Source organism: Homo sapiens, chromosome 11, assembly GCF_000001405.40.
Source record: "Homo sapiens chromosome 11, GRCh38.p14 Primary Assembly".
Classification (NCBI taxonomy): Eukaryota; Metazoa; Chordata; class Mammalia; order Primates; family Hominidae; genus Homo; species Homo sapiens.
Window position 1 is genome coordinate 34,854,957 of NC_000011.10, and position 23,762 is coordinate 34,878,718.

Here is a 23,762-nt window from a genome sequence, read left to right on the forward strand (position 1 = left end):
ATACACACACACGCCTTGAATTACACAGGAAGATTTAGAATCAACTCAGAAGTCCCACCTCCTGGTGTTCTCTCTCTTTGGACATGGATGAACTGCAGAGAGAGAAAGGAACCTTTTGTCCTTCCATTGGTCCAGGCCCAAGCATCTTGCTGTGCCTAAATTCCACAGTGTCACAGGATTTGAGTGAAGTTGCCCTTCATTTCTAGTAGCCAAGCTTTCTTGAGAGGCCGCTTCTGCGTATTGAGCTGTTAACCCGCCACTCCTTTATTTACATATCAGTTAGATGAAGTTCACCCACTCAGATTGTGAAACACCTTTCATTGTTTTTGGCGAGTCACTCTTCAGGTGCAGTTAAGAAGTCTTCATTCTGGGGGGTTCAAAAGTGTTTCATACCAATGTCAACCCCATTGTTATGGCCCTAAGTAAAAACTGTGACCTGAGAGATGAGAAAAAGTCCCAATAGGTGAGGTAAGTAATTAAACAAGTGACTGCATTTTATTGTGTAAATTACACTACATTTACTGTAAAGCTAAACTGCCAATAGCCCTTATAAAGTCTCAAAGGCAATGACTTAACCATGAATAGTGAGTTCCAAAGATGCAGAACAGAACACGTTTGTCCTTTAAGTGCTATTGGGAAAGACAAACTAAATTTGAAAAAGGCAGCTTTCCCAGTCTCCAGTCACTGAAGATTTGGCTTGGCTTCAGAGGTGGAATTCTGGTTTCCCCCAAAACCTCCCCAGTACTAAGTTATGCAAATCTTAGGTGTAGCAAGAGTTGGGCATGAAATCAATTGCAGTTGTGGACTGTTGGTAGGTTACGTGTGACTTGGTAGAATGTTCTTTCTCTTCTTCTGGGCCATTTTGCTCCTTATTTCCCTGGATAAGATAGGCATGTGATAATCACTCTCAGACCTATGTGTTTACAGAACTCCAGGGAGCACCATAACGATAGGATACAATTCAATGTTGCCCCCTAGAGTTGGACAATACACCAACCCTGATGCCTTTATAATGGGGCCATTCATTTGTCTGCCAAAAACAATGTCCATAGCCGGTTGGATATTCCATTCTAGCATGCTTTTCCTACCATGTGGTTCAGGTTAAGTGATTCTTTTAGCCTCAATTTTTTGTTTACCTTTACCTGTTCTTGATTCAGATTGGGAGCTTTCATCCAGTACCAAGGGTTATGATATGCAACATATGTCACAATGAAGACTGGTGGGGAGTGAAAGAAAGACTATTTTCTAAGCTTTTCTGAAGAGGCTGGAACATTTGATCTGAAAAAGGTGTGAGAACTGGCTTTGTGATAGAAAATAGTGTTTTGGATCCTAGATCTTGTATCTTGCATTGAGATGAAATAAGTGCATGGTGTTCCTGGCAGGTGATGGGAAAAGGCAATCTGTGCCCCCATATTCTCCAAGCTAAATAGGTTGGTTTCTTCTTTCAGCAGGCCTTTACTTACAAGAACAGCTGGTTTCTTTTGGAAGCATGCATCCAACTAATCCTCCACACAGATACTTGGCTTCAACAGGGAAAATAAGTTTGCCATATTCAGCATTAAACGTGATTGCACTTGCCTCCAGGCCTTTAAAGAAGCAGGGTTGCTTTATCCATTAGTTTCTATAGGCATAGTGCCTAGGCTGAGGCCCAAGAACATTTCAAGAGATGGTTAAAATACTTGAGATCTGGAGGAGAAAAATAAAGAAGAAATATTTTGATTCCATTGAACAATGTGATACCAAAATTTTTAAATGTGTAGTGACATAGCTGCAAATTATGACATAGGCTAATTTCATCAATTATTAAATTAAGTATTCATAAACATCTCATTATAGGTGCAAGCATTTGTGGATTAGTTTTTCTCACTTGAATCGTCTTACAGGTACCCAATGATTGCTAAGAAATCATAACCAATTTTGAATCAAAGGAATTACTAATACAAAAATAATTTGAAAACCAAATTAGAAAAAAACTACATTTTTTTGCCCCCAAATTATATTGGATGTGTGTACATCTGAATATGTTTCATAAGATATGGGAGGAGCTGCCTAGGACTTAGGGACCCTCAAGTGCTCTGGGTAAGGGTCATTTCCCTTCCCTGGGATACTCTCTGTAATTGTCTATACAGTTCATGTTCTTTCTCTGCTTTAAACTTTTAAAGGAAATTCCCTTTTCTTTATTCTAATCCACTGGGCTCCTTGACTATTTCTTTAGCAACCAAATGTAGAGAGACTTCACATTTACTTGTGTTATGGACAACTTACATTCGTATATTTTTATTTTGAGGCCTTTCTTGAATCTATTATATGTATTTATGCTATATTTCAACTAAAGTGAGATACTTGGATGGAAAATCATTTATTTATTTATTCATTCATTCAATGAAACTACCATGTGTTGGGTGCTTAGAATATGAAGTTGAGTAAAGCAAAATACTTGGCCTGTTCTTTCAAGACATTCACAATCTCGAAAAGAAGGTAGGCAGGAAAGAAGATAAGTTGCTGCACAATTGCCTCCTGGCTGTTGACTATCTGTTGCTCAGACTGCTTCTGGGCTCAACAAGTTTTTATTTATTTAATAAGCAGTTTCTGTGTGTCAGCACTATTCTCAATGCAGATGCTGTTTAACACTCTTATGAATTTATTTCTCGAGGCAGTCCTATGAGGCATTACCATTATCCCCATTTTGCAGATGAGGACAATTGAGACACAGAGAAGTTGAGTAATTTGCTTAGGGTCCTTTACACAACAAATAAGTAGCAGAGGCGAAATTTGAACCCAACCAGCCTGGCCCCAGAGCCCATACTGCTGGTTTGTAGGTTATGAACTAAACCATATGATCAGTACTAGTGGGGTTCAGAAAATGTTTCATAACTAATTAGGCACAGTTCAGATGAAATAGGCAGGGAAGTCTCCACTAAGGAAGTGATATTTCAATTGCTTTGTATGCATAGAAATTTGTCCAACAGATACATTTGGAGTACAGGATTAAGGAAAGGCATTCCAAGTAGAAAGAAAAGCCTATGGTATAGTCTATATAGATAAAACAAATATGTACCAATATTTGTTTTGAGAAATGCAGATAGTGTATATGGCTGGAACTTACTTTGCTTAGAGGGGATTGATAGAGATGGGACATGAAAGGAAACCAAGGAAAATCTAATCTTGTTGATCATTGTAAGGAGTTTGGCTTTTGGTCAGTTTTGATTTGGGTCTGTTAAATGTTGGTTGCCTCCCCTCCACTTCTACCCCTTCAATGAAAGAAAATATTGATCACTTTAACTATGCAGAAAAACGATTTTAATATGAATGGAAGAAAATGCCACAAAGTCACAAGTCAACCAACAAACTAGAATAAAATATTTGTACTGCACAGCACAGTCCGTTTTTCTTAATGTACTAAGTGTGAATACAAATCATTACAAGATTAAAGAAAAAGACCAACAAATCAAGAGACAAGCACCGAAACAGAATTTTTTTTTTTAAAAAAGGCATTTAAACATTAGTAAAGGTGCTTTGCCTACTTACAGTAAGAGAAATGCAAATGAAAACAAGAATAAGATATCATTGTCACTGTTGGTTCAGCAAAGACTGAAAATTTGGTAACACCCTGGCCTGGCCAGAGTTTGGGGAAACAGCCACTCGTATTGCTGGTAGGATGGTGACCTGGCACAACCTCTATGAGGTTTGTAATTGAGCAGTATCTACCAAAATCACACATGTACATATTTTTCAACCTGACAGTTATACTCCTGGGAATTTATTCTGCAGGTAGATTCACACATGGGTATGATATACTTACAATGATATGTATGTTATAACATTATTTGTAATAGCAAAACATTGAGGAACAAACCTAAACTAATAAAATTAAATAATTGATTAGGTCTCTTACGTGCATCCATATCATAAAATTCTTTGCTGTCTTTTTTTAAAGAGAAAGAGGTGGGGTCTCACTTTGTCACTCCAGCTGGTCTCGAACCCCTGGCTTCAAGCAATCCTCCTGCCTCAGCCTCCCAAAGTGCTGGGATTACCTATGTAAGCCATCGTGCCCAGTCACTTTGGTGTCTTTAAAGAGCAAGTCTGTCTGATATGTATCAATGTGGCAGAATCTTCAACACCTGATTTAAAAAAGTAGAGCACAGAATGATGGGTTAGGTTTGTTACCATTTGTATGTGAGTGTGCATTTAAGGAAATATATACATATAGGCTTGAAAGTGCATTAAAGACTTCTGGAAGAAGTGTAGGAAATTGGTACATTGGTCGCCTCTGGGAAAGGAAACATTGCAGTTAAGAAGAGAGGGATGGTGCACTTCTACTTCTTATTTATATGTTTTAAAATGTTGGTGACTGCACCCTCTTGCATTGTTCTGCATTTGGCAGGAAGGTCAGTTGATATATGTTTCATGGATTTAACTTTCCATAACACTCCAAACTAGGATTCTGGGAAGAGGGAGGAGAGTGAAGAACTTGACCATGATACGCTGGAGCTGCAGGTCAAAGATGGCTCAGGAGGTTACTGCTTCTTCCCACCTGCTGGTGTGGAGCCAAGGCACCAGCCTCCCTGCAGGACAGGCAGGTGGAAGAGAACATGATTCTAGGGAAAGATGTGCATTGGAGCTCCTTGGAAGACTTATGTTTACACGCCTTTCCCAATGCTGCCTTTTTGTTTAATTAAACCCAGAGATAAATGTTGTGAAACTCCTGTCTGGCCTCAGTTTGCTTACAACCCTGAGTATGTGTCCCCTGACACATTCCAACATGTAAGTAATCTTCGCTGACCCTAACTGGAGCAAAGCTTTTGCTGAAAGGAATGAATTATGTACCTATTTTTAGTGAAGTATCTGGTATCTGTCTGCTTTGGTTTAATATGCTTATGTAACCTCATTGAAGGGCTGATTTCCTCAGTTAATAAGGATGCAAAAGACCAGAGTGCCCACTTAAGAGAGACTATGTTTAGACCTCTCAAGGAATAATTAATAAAGGGAATCAAGGGTCAAAGATTATTTCAACTGACAAGTCTAGGCCCTTCTCATTAGTAAAAACTGCCCGGTTGCCTTGCAGTATTTTCTTTGCCAGGAGACAACACCTATCCTAAATGTTTAAGTGACTTCTTGTTGGGCTGGTTTCGGAGGATTAAGCTCAGTGTAATTTCATCCTTCCCAGGTGTGAGACACTTGCGTGTGCAGTAATATGATTCTGTACTGTCAGGGAAAAGAGTGTGTCTTTGTCAGCAGTGTTTGGCAGTCAAACCCCTGAATCATGACCTCACTTTCAGGTAATCACTCTTTGCAGGCTTAAAACCCCTGGCGTTACCACTTGCTCTTATGCTGAGAGACTTAAAGGTTTGGCTGCTGGCACGTGGTCCTGCTGGTCAGCAGAATGGAGATGATCTGTGCTGGCAGCCCAACTGGACTTCAGAAAGCATTCCCTCCCCAGCTGTTTGGATTCAGTTTCTAAGTGCTGAGCAATACCATCTCTATGTTCAAGAAGGGCAAAAACCAAAATGAGTAGTAATTATTTGGATTTGCTTTAGCCTGTAGTTAGATCAATTCTTCTTCTGATGCTTTGGGTAATGTCCTCAAAATGATTTCCTACTGAATGTTTACAATTTCAACATGTAATACATACTCTGGATAAAGCAGTAGCTCACAAATCATCTGATCAACAAGGTGAATCCTATCTCTGTCTTGGTCCACATGGAGACTAGCACATGTGATTGACAGGCAGATAAGGGCCGTATTGTCATTTGGTTGCACCTGTCCATATGGCGAGGGATCGGAAATGAGAAATGGCTGTATTCTAAGCTGGGGATTATAGAGCTGTGTTACTCTAAGTCTTACTGTCTTACAGTAGCAAGGAGCAAGAAGAGTCTTGAAAGAACGGAGCCTTAAATATCATAGGTCAAGCCCTATAGTTTCACAGATGAGGAACTATTGCCTCAGAGACAGAAAGCAACTTACACAAAATCACAGAGAAAATGCGAGTGGCCTTGCTGGGGTTAGAGTCAAAGTTTCCTGACACCCATCTAGTGGTCTTTCTGCTACACCTTTTTGTTTCCACAGAGTTTTACTGACCCCTGTATTAAAGAAAAAAAAAAGATAAAGGAAAAAAAGCCTGTTTTGGCATGGTCCCTTGTTCTATGGTTTAAGGTCAGTCTTGTTCTTCAGCATCAGCACTTTAAGGTTTTTTTTTTTTTTTTTTTTATCAGAAGTCTCTATATGGTTAGCCTGAACCAGATGAAATTGCTGCTTTTATGAGGCAAAAAGTTAAATATAGTAAATTTCAGATAGTTCTACCTGAGAGTTTTTCATTTAGAAAGTGGCAGTTAATGCCGGGCGCGGTGGTTCACGCCCGTAATCCCAGCACTTTGGGAGGCTGAGGCGGGTGGATCACGAGCTCAGGAGATCAAGACCATCCTGGCTAACACGGTGAAATCCCGTCTCTACTAAAAATACAAAAAATTAGTCGGGCACGTGGTGGCGGGCGCCTGTAGTCCCAGCTACTCGGGAGGCTGAGGCAGGAGAATGGCGTGAACCCGGGAGGCGGAGCTTGCGGTGAGCCGAGATGGCGCCACTGCACTACAGCCTGGGCGACAGAGTGAGACTCCATCTCAAAAATAAAAATAATAATAATAATAATAATAATAATGATAATAAATAAAAGGAAGTGGCAGTTAACATAGTTGTCCTTGAATTTAGTAAATTAGCAAATCATGTTCTCTTATTGGATTACTTATTAACCAAACCCTGTCCCCTAAACCTATATGGATACTTTCTACTTTTCCCTTTCTATCCAGAGGGAAACATAAAGCAATGTAAGAGGAATAGAGGAGGCTGACCATAGCTAAGACTTTTGTAAGGCTGCCAAATATAAGGTATTGCCAATGTCTCCTGTGTTCTTGGCCATTAAACTTTAAGATATCCCTTCCTTAAGTCCACTATTTATACCACCAAAACCAGGTCCAACTTCTTGATAGTACATTCTCATAGCACCTCATAGTTCTCTCTTGTAGCACTTCTACTTTTTCACTTACTTCTAAGGTTATTTTACTAACTTCTTCCAGATCTATGAGGGCAGGAACCTGACTGGTTTGCTTATGCTGCACTTGGAGCACTTAGCACAGAGTCCAGCATACTCAGCAAGTATGTGCTGAACGAATGAACAAAAGTCAAATGGTCTGATTTATTTCTGTCCACCCCACTTGGTGAACCTTATGTCAGAACATTTTTGTTTATTTATTTATTTGTTTGTTTGTTTATAGACAGAGTCTTGCTCTGTCACCCAAGTTGGAGTGCAATGGTACAATCATAGCTCACTGTGACCTTGAACTCCTGGGTTCCAGTGATCCTCCTGCCTTAGCCTTCAAAGTAGCTAGGACTACAGACACACACCATCATGCCTGGCCCAGAATATTTTGTTTAAATTTAAATCCAATAATGGAAATCTGTGAGAAAACCCAATCATGTCACTTGGAGAGGCTTACCTGTCACAGGCCAGCCAGTGACCTACACCAGGTGCCAATGAACTCAGGAGGCAGGGCTCCCCTTGAAATTTCTTTGTATGTCAATGAGACTAATATGTAGGGTAACTTAGAATTTGGATCTTAAGCTTTCAGGGACTTTAAAATCCATCAGCAAGATATCCTCATAAACACTTGGCCATCATGCTTTCCGACTATTGGGAAGAGCATTCTGGAAGTCCCCATAACCCCCCTGGCTGGTGCATATGAACACACAATGGGCCAAAGGAAAGTCCAGCTACGTGGACATCAGCTGGTAGAGCCACTTCAGCAAACAGAGGCAGGAGTTGGAAGTGAGAGGGGCAGAAATGGAAAGTCTGGTCTCCACCAGTTCATGAGGGTCAGAGAAGTTTGTGTATATTGGGTCAGAGTTAAAAACAACTGGGGTGTAATAGAAGGTGCTCTATAACAGATCTGGGCTGTGGGGAGGTCCTTAGATTTTTGAGCCAAACCAGAGCCTTCGCCCCTTGTCACTGACTGATCCCTTTTTGAAGAAAATTACCTGACCATAAGACTAATCCATAAACTGTCAGTGATCTAGGAAGGCCAAATCCACACAGACTAACCTAGATGCTGCCCTACCTGCATTCCAGAGTGGGGCCTGATATCATACCTGATGTTCTTGGAGAGAATGAGACTTCCAGTGATTTCTTGGTTTGCCTATGCCCAGGCACAGAGAGAGTGATCTTTTCCCAGAATAAGTACAGTGTGACCTGGTGCCTTAACTGCTCTTAACCACCTTACACTTTTCTAGTCAAGATCATTATCTGCAGGCTGGGCATGCTAGAAAGCGGAGTCTTCCCTACTGACATCTCAGCAGGATTTATGATCCTCTCTGCTTATGGAACATGAGAAAGCCAGGCCTTGGGGTACAGCTGAGACAGAATGCTTGCTTGAGAAACCAGCTCATCAAACAGGACTTACTTGAAATAATTGATCTAGGCTTCAGTTGAAATTGATAGTGGCGTAGACAGAATTTCCCGTGTCTGTCTTTTCATTTCCAAACTTCTTCAAGGAGTAGTCTATGTGGCTCCTCAAGGTCTTCTCCTTAACCCCCTAACATCTGGCTTTCATTTTTCAGTTGTCTTCCCCAGGCCGGGCAATCTATGCTGTTGGATCTAGGTTGGTTGGAACTTTCTAAGATTGCTACTGTCCTTGTCTTGAAAGTCCAATTAAAGGCAAGAGGAAATATTTTGCAGACTTCTGAGTTGGGTTGAATCTGATGCTTGATTTATTTGAATGTTACACTGATTATGGGAGAGACAGATTCCAAATTAGACTTCTGAGTTGGGTTGAATCTGATGCTTGATTTATTTGAATGTTACACTGACTGTGGGAGAAACAGATTCCAACTTAAGACTTCTGAGTTGGGTTGAATCTGATGCTTGATTTATCTGACTGCTACACTGTGGGACAGACAGAGTCCAGCTCAGCCCCACATTCTGAATTGTGAGAACCAAGATATATACTTCGTTTAAATTTCCAACTGTGTGACGGACCGCATTCTCTAAATTAATAGGTAGAGGCATCTGAACACCAAATTGTAGCCCTAATTTGTTATAACTAAAGTCCCCTTTGATTGTGCCCTTTCTACATCTTATCAGAGGGACACAGAGTGGAAGACTGTTAGTCTGAGATTAACAAACACTGGAAGGTTATATGAGAAAGCGCGTGTTGGATTTTAAAGTTAAAGAACTTTAGGCAAATTTCTTAGAGTACACCAATTCTCCTTTTTGCCAAATTCAAGAGTGAAACAGAAAACAAAATTTAAAAAACAAACTACTGTTTATTAGGCAGTATACTTGACACTTTGCATATATTATTTTATTTAAACAACCCTTAAAGGAGGCATTTTTGTCCCCACTAAAGGAGATTTGACCAAGGTCACATTACCAATAAATGGTGGAGGTAGGACTCAAAGTTAGGCTTTTCTGAAACTAGAGTCCATGTACTTAACACTACTATACTGCACTTTTTCCCGTCAGTCTTATTCTTGCTTTTTAGCAGCAGATGATATTTTACATTCTCTCTTCTTTTTGAAACTCTCACAAGTTAAACTAAATGTTATGCTCCTCCAGTTTTCCACATACTTCCTCTTTCTCCATTTCCTTTGTTAGTTCCTCTTCTCTCTCTTGCATTCCAGAATGTGCCCTAAAGCTTAGTGTTTCTTCACACCTTTGGAAAGATGACCTGTACCCAGGGCTTCAATTTACACTTCCACATCCCACCAGACTCTGAATTTCAGGACAATGGAGACCCGATCTATCTTATTCACTGGCAAATTCTTAGCATCTTGCAGAGTGCCTGATACATAGTAGATGTTTAATAGATGGTCAAATGAATGGATGCATGAACTACAGATCTGCTGATAATTCTCAGATACTCTCCTGAAGTCCAGATACATATTCCTAGGTAACTACTAGATCTTTCCTCCTTAGTATCTTGCTATTGCTGTGAAATGGTAGTAAAAATTTGGTGAAGCCATTGAGGGTTTCAGCAATTTACTGGGGCTACCACACCAGCTGGACTCTCTCATGTTTCCCCAATGGAGGTGGCTTTATTACCAAGCTGGGATATAGACCTTCTACAGAGGAAAATGGCAGCCTGACTCCTTCCAATGATATGGGTTTGAGCTTCTTTGAGAGGGTCCCAGTGCAGCCTCTGGTTGGAGTCCTTGCTAAGTAGACATGGATAAAAGATGGTTGGATCTGAAGCAACTAGTAGCTCATCTGGGGGTGACAATACCACCACATTCATTTGGGTCAATGCATGCTAGTGTTAGCTGCCCAGGGAAGAGTTAATTCCAGGTGAAGTGTAGGCATGGAAGAAGAATGAGCACATAGTTGTGAAGAGTCACAATCCTAGCAGGGCCTCCAGATCTGTCTCCTGGCTGCCTCCTCCTGCTTTGAGTGCTCAGATATTTCCATGAAACTTGGCTGTAAATGCCAAAGTTGGTGGTTGTCCGTAATTACCAGGGGTGTGGTTCACTGAGCATTTGCTTAGTCTGAAATAATCAAATGACTTCTTGTGGGAAGAATGAACAGAGAGAGCCTTAGAGGCTGGATGACCTCTACCTGCTGAGTCACCCTGCCCACCTAATTGCTTCATACTATTTCTGTACTATGTGCTTCCTGGTGGGCATTAACATGTGATCAAAGATCTTCGTACTTCACGCTTGCTATAATATCTATTCTCACACTTTCTACCCTAAGACAATTTGATTCCAATTTCCCAATCTTTCTTCTTCTAGGCCCCTGATCAGCCAGCCAGGCCATTTGCCACTGCCAATGAATCTATAACTTTGGGCCATTTCTTTCGTCCATACAAAGTGGGTGACCAGATTCATCTCTTGAACTCTTTCCATTGGAAGAATTTTTCCCTGACCACTATCTTTCAAGGCCACCCCTGAGGGGATGTGTAGAGCAGCTGCTGACCATTTTTGGCTTGCACTACATACTGCTTGCATTACCTCCTGAGCTCCACCTCCTGTCAGATCAGCAGCGGCATTAGGTTCTCATAGGAGTGTGAACCCTATTGTGAACTGTGCATGCAAGGGATCTAGGTTGCATGTTCCTTATGAGAATCTAATGCCTGATGATGTGTCACTGTCTCCCATCACCCCCAGATGGGACCATCTAGTTGCATCTAGTAGCTCAGGGCTCCTGCCAATTCTACATTATGGTGAGTCGTACCATTATTTTATTATATATTGCAATGGAATAATAATGGAAATAAAGTGCACAATAAATGTAATACACTTGCATCATCCTGAAACCATCCCCCTCACCCCATCTGTGGGAAAATTGGCTTCCATGAAACTGGCCCATGGTGCCAAAAAGATTGGGGACCACTGGGTTTGACAAAACCCAGTTCATGATGATGCGTGTTCTGGATGCAGGGTCACTTGGTGCATTAGTTAGGGTTCTCCAGAGAAACAGACCCATAGATGGACACACACACACACACAGACAGAGTGGGGAAATAGAGAGATTTATTGTAAGGAATTGGCTCATGTGACTGTGTGAGCAGGCACCACCAGAATTTACAGAGCAGGCCGGCAGGCTCTCAGAAACACACGGAAAAGCTGATGTTGCAATCTTGTGCAATCTTAAATCCAAAGACAGTGTGAATGCAGAATTTCTTCCTCCTCAGGGGACCTCCAACTTTTCCCTTAAGGTCTTCAACTGATTGGATGAGGCCCACCCATATTATGGGGGTAATCTGCTTTACTCAAAGTCTACTGATTTAAGTGTCCATCATATCTAAAAAATAGCTTCAAAGCAACATCTAGACTGATGTTTGCCCAAATATCTGGACATTGTCGCCGGGCCAAGTTGGCATATAAAATTAACCATCACCCTTGGTATCTCAGAGGCAAGTTCCATATTTATTACGGCCCAGTAGCACACTAGAGTTTTTCAAAAGGCAAATAATTCTTCCTTGCAGATGGCATGGCTTTGTTCCAGAAATCTGGGATCTGCATAACGATTGTCCCACTGGGACTCACCATAAACTAACATGACATATTTTCCCACCACCGGTACTCAAACATCATACGGTCTTCTGGGTCACTGGCTCAAATGTTCAGGAGTTACTGTAGAACCCTTTTCTGCTCTGGGTTCCCTCAATGATGGTAATTTTCAAGACACCCAGCACATGGACCGGAGCCGCATTCCCAAGTGTGAAATGTGCTGACTTCAGAACCTAAAGAGGTCTACAAGGAATTGTGCTTCCTTTTTCCTAATGGGGAGCGCAAGATGTAATATCTGTCTTTCACTTTGGGTGGGATATGCTAGCATGCCCATCATCATTGGATCTTTAAAATTTTCGCTGATGTTGAGCTTCTGAATCTTCCTAGGGCTTACCTCCCACCTCTGGAGCAGATGCTAGCTGGTTCTTGATCATTCAGCCATTTAGCGCCATGTCATCAATGTAGTGGATCAATATGAGGTCCAGCGAGATACTCAGAAAGCCCAAATTTCCTCAGACTATATTACAAGAGTGAGAACTAACACAGCCCTGGAGAAAACTATAGCTCTGTTGCCTATTTCACATGAAACTAAACTGTTTCTGGTCTTTTCTTTTTTAAGAGACAGGATCTAGCTCTATAGCCCAGGCTGGAGTTCAGTGGTACAATCATAGCTCACTGTGGCTTCTAACTCCTGGGCTCACGTGATACTCCTGCCTCAGCCTCCTGAGCAGTGGGGACTGTAAGTGTGAGCCACTACACCTGGCTTCTGATCTTTTTTTCTGATAGAAATGGCTGGCTCCATGCTGTGTACCCAAAGCCATGTTCACCTGCTCTAGCACAGGTGCCACATCTGGCACAGCAGCTACAGCTGTGTTTGTGTAGTCTACTCTCATGCTCCAGGAGATCCATCTAATTTCTGGAGGGGTCCAGACTGGTGAATTAAGTGGAGATAAAATGAGGATCTCTACTCTGGCCTCCTTTAGATGCTTAAGGGTAGCATTAATTTCTGTCATCCCTCCCAGGATATGAATTTGTTTTGTATTTAGTAGCTTGGCTGGGGGCAAGGTGGGAGTAGATGGAAATTTCAAAGGCTGCTACTTGGCCTTCTCTGCTATGATAGGCTGCTTTTACCTGACAGGCCAAGGATTCAATGTGGGAGCTGCACCATCTATCAACTATGTCTATTCCAATTATATATTTGGAAATGATCAGTAGGTAGGCCCACTGTGAGCTAGACCTCAGTCAATAGTCCACTTGTAAACTGGTCTCATATGATTATCTTGTAATAGGGAGGATCAAGATGACATTTCAGGTCTCCAGCTATCAATATCACCTCATATTCTACGTCCAACAGTAATCACATGCTTGGGTATTCCCTCTGCCCCCAATGTAGAGTTATACATAGGCCCCTTGGGGAGAGGACTGAATCAATATCTCTTGCGTTGCCATGGTGTTGCAAAGTCATTTTATCTGGAGACTATCCTCTCTTTTCATCAGTGGGTTCTGGGTCCCTATAACAATTGAGGTCACAAAACTGGATAAGAGATTGTGTTTTTATTGGGGTGACTGCACTCAGCCTCCTGATCATCTAGTCTTGATTTCTTCTCAAGGTACAAGTTGAGTGCCAGGCCTCTGAATATTTGTAAGGTTTATTTTGGGGTGCCTTTGTTGACTGTCTCTCTGTTTTGGTCCTGTGGATGCTGGGGTTGTTTTTTTTTTTTTTTTGAGACAGAATCTCACTCTGTCACCCAGGCTGGAGTGTAGTGGCACTATCTTTGCTCACTGCAACCACTGCCTCCTAGGTTCAAGCAATTCTTCTGCCTCAGCCTCCTGAGTAGCTGGAACTACAGGCATGCACCACCATGCTTGGCTAATTTTTGTATTTTTAGTAGAGACAGGGGTTTTACCATGTTTGCCAGGCTGGTCTCGAACTCCTGACCTCTCCCAAAGTGCTGGGATTACAGGCATGAGCCACCGTGCCCAACCTGAAGCTGTGTTGTTTTAATCATCTATATAATTCTGCAGATGAGGCCCCCTTGGCTGTGATTTTGATCTTACCACTCATTATGAAATAATTGTATCACCTGGTTTTTGATGGTGAAAAGCTGCTGACAGGTGTCTATTGATTTCTATTGTTTTGGGGTCTTATCACCATTCGTACCTGTAAGCTGAATGATGTAATGATCTCTCCTACTTTCACCTGGGATACTTAGTAATGCTGGGATCCCTTTCACCAATGCTTTCTGTAGCCTTGATAAATAGCATGTCCAGGCCTTCCCATGAACTGTAATAATCTAGTGTGCTATCTGGCCTTACACTGTACATCCACTCCAGCCTGCCCACTTCCCTACATCTTTTAATCTATTCTTCCACCATGTGCTATGGAAATTCTTATATCTTAGTTTCACTCAGCATGGGTCCTTGCTTTTGCCACACTTCTAGGAGCCATCTATGTAGCAGGTTGGGCCCACCTGCTGGGATCCTAGCCTAAGTGTTAAATCTTGTATTTTAGAAAAATAAATAAACTCTTTCATAACCAGCCTTATGTCCCAGCTTTCTTGATTGAGCACTCTTGGGGTTCATTTCCATGGACCTCCCGTGGTGCCTGCTGGTACCTGCTAGTTAGGCATTGCAGCTTCTTTGGGGACTCTTTCCTTTCTTGTCAGACCTAGCGCAACCCTGGCTGGGTTATTCTGTGACTTAACCCTCGTTATGCACCTAGTGGCCAGAAGGGAAAGTGAAAACAGATGCTGGGGACATTACATGTTGCCCTGAGCTGGAGAGGCAAGGAAGGGGTGCTAGCTCTTAACAGGGAGGGAATTCACTTTTGCAGGTTTGGGAAGTGCAAGAATCTGAGCATTAAAGATTTTCAGAGCCATCAATGCTGGTTTCCCCATCCCTTGTGTCAGAGTCCTATTTTTTCCCAAAAAGGGCCTTGGCCTTGTCATGGTAGACCTGCCTTAGTTGGGAGTATAACATTCTGAATCTCAGGTATTCTGATGATTAAAACCTGAGCCTGTTCTTCAGCTTTCTCTGCTTTCCTACTGCAGAAGAATCTCTTGGCTATCAAGGAAGCCCTCTTGCTTCCACTCTTCACTTTTAATTGCCCATTAATCACTCTCAGCCTTTCATTATCTTTAACAAAGCAACAATCACAGTAATCATCCACTCCCACTGTCATTGTTGTGACTATTTCCTCCATAATTTTCAAATGCCTGATATATGGTGTGTATTGGTGTTTTCTCTTCCTTAGTGTGCTATCCCACTTCACCACTGGTGAAAGTTTCAATAATTGGACCATCACCTTATGCCAGGGGCTATCTACCCCACCCACCTCTAGATGGGGTCCTCAGTGTCAACTTGGTGGTAAGATATTCAGCTCCAAAGCTATCTTATCACCTACTTTCTTAGACCACTCTTGCTACTGACTGTCACAGGCTGAGGTTCCCCAGGAAGCAGCCTCTGAGAGAAAGTTTAGTATGCAGGATGTCACTATTAGGTGATGTCCTTGGTATCAACGCAGGTGGATAGGATGACTCCTTTGTCCCAGTTTTCCTGAAACAGCCTTAGTTTTAGCGCTGAAAATACAGCATCCTGGAAACCCCCTCAGTCCTAGGAAAACCGGGGCTGTTGGTGGCCCTGCCTGTGAAAGGGAGGAAGCAGAAGCAGGATCGAATTGAGGAGCAGTCAAGCTGCGATACAGGCCTGAGAGCCTCAGCTGCCCCAGGGAGAGCTCTGGAACTAAATTTGGCACATCAGACATGTCCAGCATCAGGCTGAAATGGCTGAGTCCTCATATTCCTGCTCCCTCAGTCACTGGATATGGGCTTCCCTGGGAAGGGCATGGCCTTGGGTAAGCAAATCTGCAGCTGAGATCTCTGAATGGGGCTGACGGCACTCCTAAGAGTTGAAGCAATAAGTCCTCCCATGAAAAGGGATCTGGGTGGTGAATCCTTGTGTCCAAGGCAGATATGTGTAGATATATTTTTATATTTGCATAGACCATCTGTGAAGGGATGTGCAAGAAATTGATACTGTGGTTGCCTCCAAAGAGAGGAAGTGGGTGACCAGAACAGGGTGGGAGGAAAAATTACTGTAAGGATATATTTTAGATTTTGAATATGTACAGTTTGAATTTTTAAAATCGTGTTAAATATACATGTTTATTACACACATGAATTTAGGCTGAAAAATCAATAAAAAAAGTGGAAATAAGAGTTTTCACAGATCTAAATAATTTCTCTACCATATCTCTTGTTAACCAAAGGAGTAAAAATATTTAAATTCTCCTACCAAATTTATGCTCTTATTTTTAAATCTAACCCCAAATAGCCAACCTGTTAGCATCGATACAGGAGCTAGAAAGAAATTAGGCAGATAATGAGGGCACAAGACTCCTCAGCAAGATTCCCCTTTTAACAAAAAGGAGCCCCCAAATAATTTCTAACAAAAATAAGCCTGAAAAATTGAACTGCAGACATTGATAAGCAAGCTGGAAACTTGCACAGTGAATGCCAGCAGTTCTGCCAATAGAAAAGGGCTACCCAGGCCCAGGCATGTTCAGCATGGAGGCTCCATCTTCCCTTTTCTTTGTGGCCACATGTGCAGTAAAGGAACAGGCAACATGGCGCCGGCCAGGTAGAGAATCTATCTGCATAATAAAATATTAGTGTGGAGGTGGGGGGCAGCCAGATTTTCATGTGCTATGCAAATGGCACACCTGGTCTGACCAATCTTTCATGCCCCATGTAAATCAAACACCGCCTACTCAATATAGGTCATCTATAAAACCTCCTGCACTTCACCACAGAAGTGACAACCCACTTCTCTTTCTTTCACCTACTAAACTTCCGCTCTGAACCTCACTCTTTGTGTGTCCATGTCCTAGTTTTCCATGACCATGAGACAATGAATCTCGGATATTTACCCCAGACAATGACACTGTTCAGCATGAGATAAATAGTAATAGTAATAAACTGGTTTGTTAAGGAATTGCCACTTTATTTGGCACAAAATCTGAATAGTTTATCTACCAACACATGGCTTTAATTTTGTTTTAGCTTTAATCTCACCCTTCAACTTTAATATCTGTATTTCTATTTCTTCCTTTCTTTCCCTTTTCTCCCACATCTTATTATGTAAATTTTAATATTATCTTATCCTATGTTGTGAAATATATATTTTATCTTTGTCTCAGGTTTCCTGGTATACAACTCCTAAAAATCCTTGGACTCTTCAAAGTGATGTGTCTTTTTGTATGATAATGATTGACGGCTGGCAGTCTCCAGGTAGCTTCAGGATGGGGGCTGGTCACCAGAAAGACCAAGGCAGGATTAGAGGGTTGAAACTTTCAGCCTCACTTCCTAACCTCCAGGGAGGGAAAAAGGGGCTGAAGGTTGAGTTGATTACCAGTGGCCAACAATTTAATCAATCACGCCTACATAATAAAGCACCCATAAAAGCCCAAAAGGACAGAGTTTGGATAAACTTCCAGATACCTGAACAAGTATAGGCTTCTAGAGGATGGCATGCCTGGAGAGGATATGAAAGCTCTGCACGTGATTCCCCTGTGCCTTGCCCTATGCATGTCTTCATCTGTGCTCTTTGTAATATCCTTTATAGTAAACGGGTAAACATGTTTCCCTGAGTTCTGTGAGCCACTGCAGCAGGCTAATTAAACCCAAGGAGGGAATGGTGGATATCCCAATTTATCAGCAGGTCAGTCAGAAGCATAGGTCACAATCTGGGGCTTGCAATAGGCATTGGAAGTGGAGGGCAGCCTTCTGGGACTCAACCTTCAACCTGTGGAATCTGATGCTGTTTCCAGTTAGATATTGTTGAAATTGGATCGGAGGACACCCAGCAGATGGTGTCTGCTGCAGAATTGGTTGCTGGTGGGGAAAAATCCCCGACATCCATCTTGGTAACCAGAGGTCACAGAAGTTTTCTGTGTTGTTGAGTGAGAGAATGAAAACACAGTTTGATTTTCCTCTCTGTATCTTCAGAGATTCTCAATCCTTTTCAGAACGAGTATGGGTGTATATAAATGTAATATAAATGCTTTAACACAGGGGTTCCCAACCTCCAGGCCGTGGACCTGTACTGGTCTGTGGCCTGTTAGGAACCGGGCCACACAGCAGGAGGTGAGCAGCAGGCAAGCGAGCATTACCCGCTGAGCTCCGCCTCATGCCAGATCACTGGTGGCATTAGATTCTCATAGGAGTGGGAACCCTATTGTGAACTGCACATGTGAGGGATCTAGGTTGTGCACTCATTATGGGAATCTAATGCTTGATGATCTGAGGTGGAACGGTTTCATACTGAAACCACTCCCCCTGCCCCCATCTGTGGAAAAATTGTCTTCTACAAAACTGGTCCTGGTGACGAGAAGGTTGGGGACTGCTGCTCTAACGCCATATAAGTGTTCCTGAAAAATCTATGCTGTACCAAAAATAATAAGGCAAATGGAGTAGACAAGGTTCAGGAAGACACTAAAAACTTATGAACTATGTAACCAGAATACCAATAAAAATATTACTAATAAAAATGTTACCACAGTTAGCTTTCTTCTAGTTTTCATGGCTGTTAATCATTTGCTTCCTTATAATTTCCTAGACTTGTGCTTCCTCCTTTAAGATGTAAGTATTAGAAGGCATTTGCTTTTAAAAAATTCAATTTTCATCAAATTTTAAAATCGTATCCAGTCTGTAGGCTTCCTAATCCATTGTTTTATATAACTAGAAATATCTTCTTAGTGTCTTTATCCATGCCTGTTCCAGATAGCTTAACTGAATGAAAATTACTGAAGGTCCCTAAAGCTACTAAATGAGGCTTTTTTTCCCAATAAAGAATAAACTTCTGCAGATTTTCAGCTTTTTTTCCAAAATGTTTTCATATATCTTTAAAGCTTTCTCATTAATTATAAGAAATCTTGCCCTAATTGCTTTAAAACAATGTGCTGAGAAAAATTGTGTATGAATCCATGCAATTTCCATATTATACCAATGTACCAATATCATTCCTTTATTTACCAATTTTGTATGAAGTAATATACATAAAAGACTTGAGTCTCATCAAGATTAATGCGAGTTAGCCTTTTATTTCATGCAATTGCATAGCATTTGGTTTGATATACTATTAGACATTGTGTAAGACTCTATTATGAAATAAATCATCTCAAAATAACTTTTAAAAAAGCAAATCTGTTCATCTCTTCTGACTCAAAAGGCTGAAGGTGAATCCAAAGGTACTGCTAAATCCAAGTACTAAAATGCTGTAGTAGAAATATTTCTATATCTTGGCTCTGCTTTTTATACTTTTCTTTGTGTGTTGGTTTCATTCTCTTCAAACACAGACAGGCTTTCTTTATCTGGCAGTGGAGTTGGGTCCTGGCACCTCTCCTTGAGTTAGGAACCTAAGACTTTGAACCCCTCTGTAGGCAGGGAAATGGTGTGCTATGACTGGCCACGACTGGCCAGGTCCGGGTCACGTGGTTATGGCTGCAGCAAGAGGGCAGGCAGAATACTGTGACTGACATCATCCCAGAGCCTCAAGGGATGTGGGTGAGTGGAGGTGGCTCCTATGAGTGAGGGAAACTGGGTAGACACCAACAGCAGCTTACCTCTACCTACGTACCAACACTTGAGCACTGAACAAGTACTGAGTACGAAAGAAGATTTGCTGAAATTTGGAGTTACAAGACCCTTAGAAAATGCCAATCAGAAAATGAAAGTTAAGTGATTCTGCTCAAGGTCAATGTAAAATTATTAAAAATGCTAATGATATGGGCAGGAGGCGAGGAAATACTAGGTAGAAGAGGGCAGTTCCCTGGCAAAGGCCCCACCCTCAAGCCTGGAAACCCATGGACCTAAATGGGAACAGGCATCCCTGTTTTCACGCCCAAATGTTGCCTTTTCTAAGACCACTCTGGCCTGCCATGCCCCTATTCTGTGCCCACATAAACCCCAAGCTCCACGAGCAGAGGAACAGAAGAGTAGCAGAACGACAGAGCAGCAGAGTGGCATGGCATAGAAGAAGAGAAGAGAAGGAGCGTCTGAACATCAACAGGAGTTCAGCTGGGGACAGTCAGAGAGGAGATCGGCTGTGGGGCAGCCAAACTCTGGGGGAATATCACCTTCCCATTCCATCCTCTTTCCAGCTCCCCATCCATCCCACTGAGAGCTACTTCTATCACCCAATAAAATCCCTGCACTCACCATCCTTCAAGTCTGAGTGACCTGAATCTTCCTGGACGCTGGATGATATGGTTTGGCTCTGTGTCCCCACTCAAATCTCATCTTGTAGCTCCCATAATTCCGTGTTGTGGGAGGGACCTGGTGGGAGATAATTGAATCATGGGGGCGGGTCTTTCCTCTGCTGTTCTCATGATAGTAAGTCTCACAACATCAGATGGCTTTAAAAATGGGAGTTTGCCTGCACAAGTTCTCTCCTCTTGCCTGCTGCCATGTGAGATACGCTTTTCACCTTCTGCCATGATTGTGAAGCCTGCCCAGCTACGTGGAACTATGAGTCCAATAAGCCTCTTTCTTTTGTAAATTGCCTGGTCTCCGGTATGTCTTATCAGCAGTGTGAAAACAGACTAATACACCGGACAAGGATCCAGGTACCAAGAGGGCAGGGTGTAAAAGGCTGTCACCCTGACTCTCTACTGAGCTGGTTTAACACTTAGCCGTCCACAAATGGCAACTACTAAAAGAGCATTAATTGTAACACACCCCTAAACGCTACTGGGGCTGGAGCCCAAAAGCACTCGCCCCGCCCCAGCTCTTGCCCCCGCCCATCCGTGTGCTCGCCCTCCCGAAAGGAGTTCGAGCCTGTAGTGGCTGAGCACATGAGCGACACCTCTGTCATAAGTCCTGTGAGGGATCAGGGAACTCTCCCGTTTCACTAACATATGCTGAGAAAATGGGTGTCAGGTGAGAAAGTCTAAGCTTAAGACAGAAGATTAAAAGAAAAAAACAAAAGATGTATGTTTAAAGAATAAAAAGGAAGAGAAGAAAAAGGCAAAGAAGAAGGTTATAAGGCAACAAATAAAATCTCTCAAATTAAGAATAAATGGACAGAAGGAATTGAAGGGAAGAAAAACTAGAAGGAAAACCTCAGTCCTAGGGTGTGAAAGCATTAACAAGGATTATGAGTGATAATAGACATGTATTATTTTAGATTTGGCTTATTGTAGAGTTTTTTTTATTTCATATTGGAACTATAGATGATTCATTTCTTAAATAAATAGGAAAAATGCCTGAACAATATGTGAATGGCATTGAATTATTGAAGATTAAGGCTTATAGTTAAGGCTTATACTTAAAAATCACATTGATTGGAAAGCTTGATGAGTCAGAATCAAGCAATGGTAAATGGCTAAATGGTAACAATTTTTACCAAGTTACTATGGGCCAAAGTAATATCCTTCAAAGTGCCAGCTGTCACAACATAGCAAGATTTTTAAACAATGTCATTCTTGGCTGCAAAGGGAGCCAGCCACTTGAAGTAGAAGTTCAGTTTTGCTTTCTGGATAAAAAGAGGTAAGGAGAAAATCAGAATAAAGTTCTGAAATTTAGGAAGATAAAGGAAGGAAGTCTTTTTCAGAGTGTTTCTATAAATGGCACACATTGATTGCTGATATGACATTGATGAATGTTGATCAAAATGACTTAATTCATTCTATTGTGTGATAAGAGCACTAGAGATGTCATACAATTAAATTAACTGCAATAATTGCTAAAAACAAGGAGATTTAAAGAGCAGAATTATACCTGAAATCCTATAAATGGCTTTGAAAGTGCCTTTGGAAAGTGTCACTTACGTGCAAAGCCTTTAGAGGTTTTAATTTAAAGCAGAATCAACACATTTTTAAGCTACACTAAACAGGGGTCATCACTGTCTTCATATCTGTGAAAGACTGCTACAACAAAGCGGAAAGAGCAGAAATGTGCAGGCTTATCGGTTTAAGTTCATTCCTAAAAATCGTAGAGGGAGATAGAGAAATAATTGCTTCTTTGATAACATCCTAACGTTCTTTTTTTTTTTTTTTTCTAGGATGGCTGGGCAGGGTTCTGCAACACAGCAGAAACCCCAGGCTTCCCAAGACCCAGGATCAGAACTGTATAATGTCACTTCTGCCTCACTTTGTTGGACAAAGTATGTCACAAGATCATCTCAGTGGTGGTAAAATTATTATTATTATTATTTTAAGGCAGAGTCTCACTTTGTCACCCAGGCTGGAGTGCAGTGGTGTGATCTCGGCTGCTCACTACAACCTCCGCCTCCCATGTTAAGCGACTCTCATGCCTCAACCTTACCCATGTTAAGCGACTCTCATGCCTCAACCTTACCAAGTAGCTGGGATTACAGGTGCATGCCACCACAGCTGGCTAAATTTTGTATTTTTTTTTTCATACTTTAAGTTCTGGGGTACATGTGCACAACAAGCAGGTTTGTTACAGATGTACACATGTGCCATGTTGGTGTGCTGCACCCATTAACTTGTCATTTACATTAGGTATATCTCCTAATGCTATCCCTCCCCCCTCCCCCCACCCCACGACAGGCCCCGGTGTGTGATGGATAACATCCTAATATTCTAACATGGTGATGTTAATCACCTCTATGCATATTGTTAAAATATGTATGCAGTTTTACTAAAATGTTAGAGAGAATATGCCTGAAATTTATATAAGGAATAAAAACAGATAAATCAACCTGAAAATGTCCCTATGTTTATTATCTTGAGTAATTTCAAAATGCATGAATAAAATGCATAGATGTGCATTTGCTGAGAGGGATTCATTCATCCAGGTTGAGAAAATGCCATACAATTTAGAGCCAAAGGCCTAGGACAAATTCCCAGCTCTCCTGCTCACAGGTCTTGAGCAAGTTAACCTTTCTGAACCTGTGTCTCATTGTTAACATGAGGGTTTATTCAAAAAGCAAGTATTTTTTGATTGTCTGCTACACGTAGGCACAGGGCTATGGAAATAGATAGGACATGGCCCTGTCTCACTAGAAGCTTATGTTTTTTGGTGGATGGTGATAACACTGACATCAGGATTGCTGACAAGATGACTAGAAGGGTGAAACTGCTTGCTAAACTATAATATTTCATGCAATTATTAAACACAGTTAATGTATAAAGTGATTCATAGTTTGCTACTGGGAAGACTTACACAAATTAAAGACATTTAGTAAAGAGATATCAGAGAAGCTCAACAAGATTTTATAATCCTACTCTTCCCAATTCCTTCCTTTAAGATGTAATACATTACTGATTTATTTATTAACCACCCCATCCATTATTAACCACCCCTTCTATTCTGTCCCAAACAGGAATTTAAGACTTTCTCAGTCCTACTCCATTAACAACAATAACCAATTATGCCCCATAACATAAAAGTTAACATGGCATTCATTCTTCTTAGGCTCAATTCTCTTACAATGGAATTTGGAGGAGGTTACATAGACACTTCTTTTTACTCCTCAATCCCATTTAATATTGCTGGAGAACCAAGAGTCATTCATTCAACATTTATTGATATTTACTTGCTAACGAAGGTTTACAGTAATATCCCTTGAGGGATAAAGATTTCCTACCCAGCCATGGGCAGAAATATTCAGCACCCTGAGGATGCCTACTCCATTCTCTTGCCTGTTGGAACCTTCTTTGGGTGTCCTTTAGATCATTTATATCAAACAGATAAGCTTACAGATGGTCATCAAGGCTTTGACTAGGAGCATTTGACACCAACACA

General features: G+C 41.5%; 2 long non-coding RNA genes across 7 annotated transcripts in view; one reads left to right on the forward strand and one right to left on the reverse strand.

Annotated features, from left to right (window-relative positions):
* Positions 1–22,723, forward strand: part of LOC102723568 (uncharacterized) — a 185,086-nt gene extending 162,363 nt beyond the window's left edge. Inside the window, exon 7 of the long non-coding RNA XR_007062652.1 lies at positions 22,054–22,723. This is a non-coding gene — a long non-coding RNA (uncharacterized LOC102723568). The remainder of the gene's footprint in view (positions 1–22,053) is intronic.
* On the reverse strand, positions 465–20,322 carry LOC105376624 (uncharacterized). 6 transcript variants are annotated; one of them, XR_001748178.1, is made up of 4 exons: positions 20,211–20,322; positions 5,965–6,080; positions 3,896–4,121; positions 465–1,686 (listed from the first exon to the last, which is right to left on the reverse strand). It is a non-coding gene; the product is annotated as an uncharacterized LOC105376624 (long non-coding RNA). The 6 variants fall into 6 exon arrangements; XR_931183.1 differs by lacking the exon at positions 20,211–20,322 and adding an exon at positions 6,301–6,363; XR_001748177.1 differs by lacking the exon at positions 5,965–6,080 and having other exon boundaries at positions 3,958–4,121.
* Positions 22,724–23,762: the final 1,039 nt, after the last annotated feature.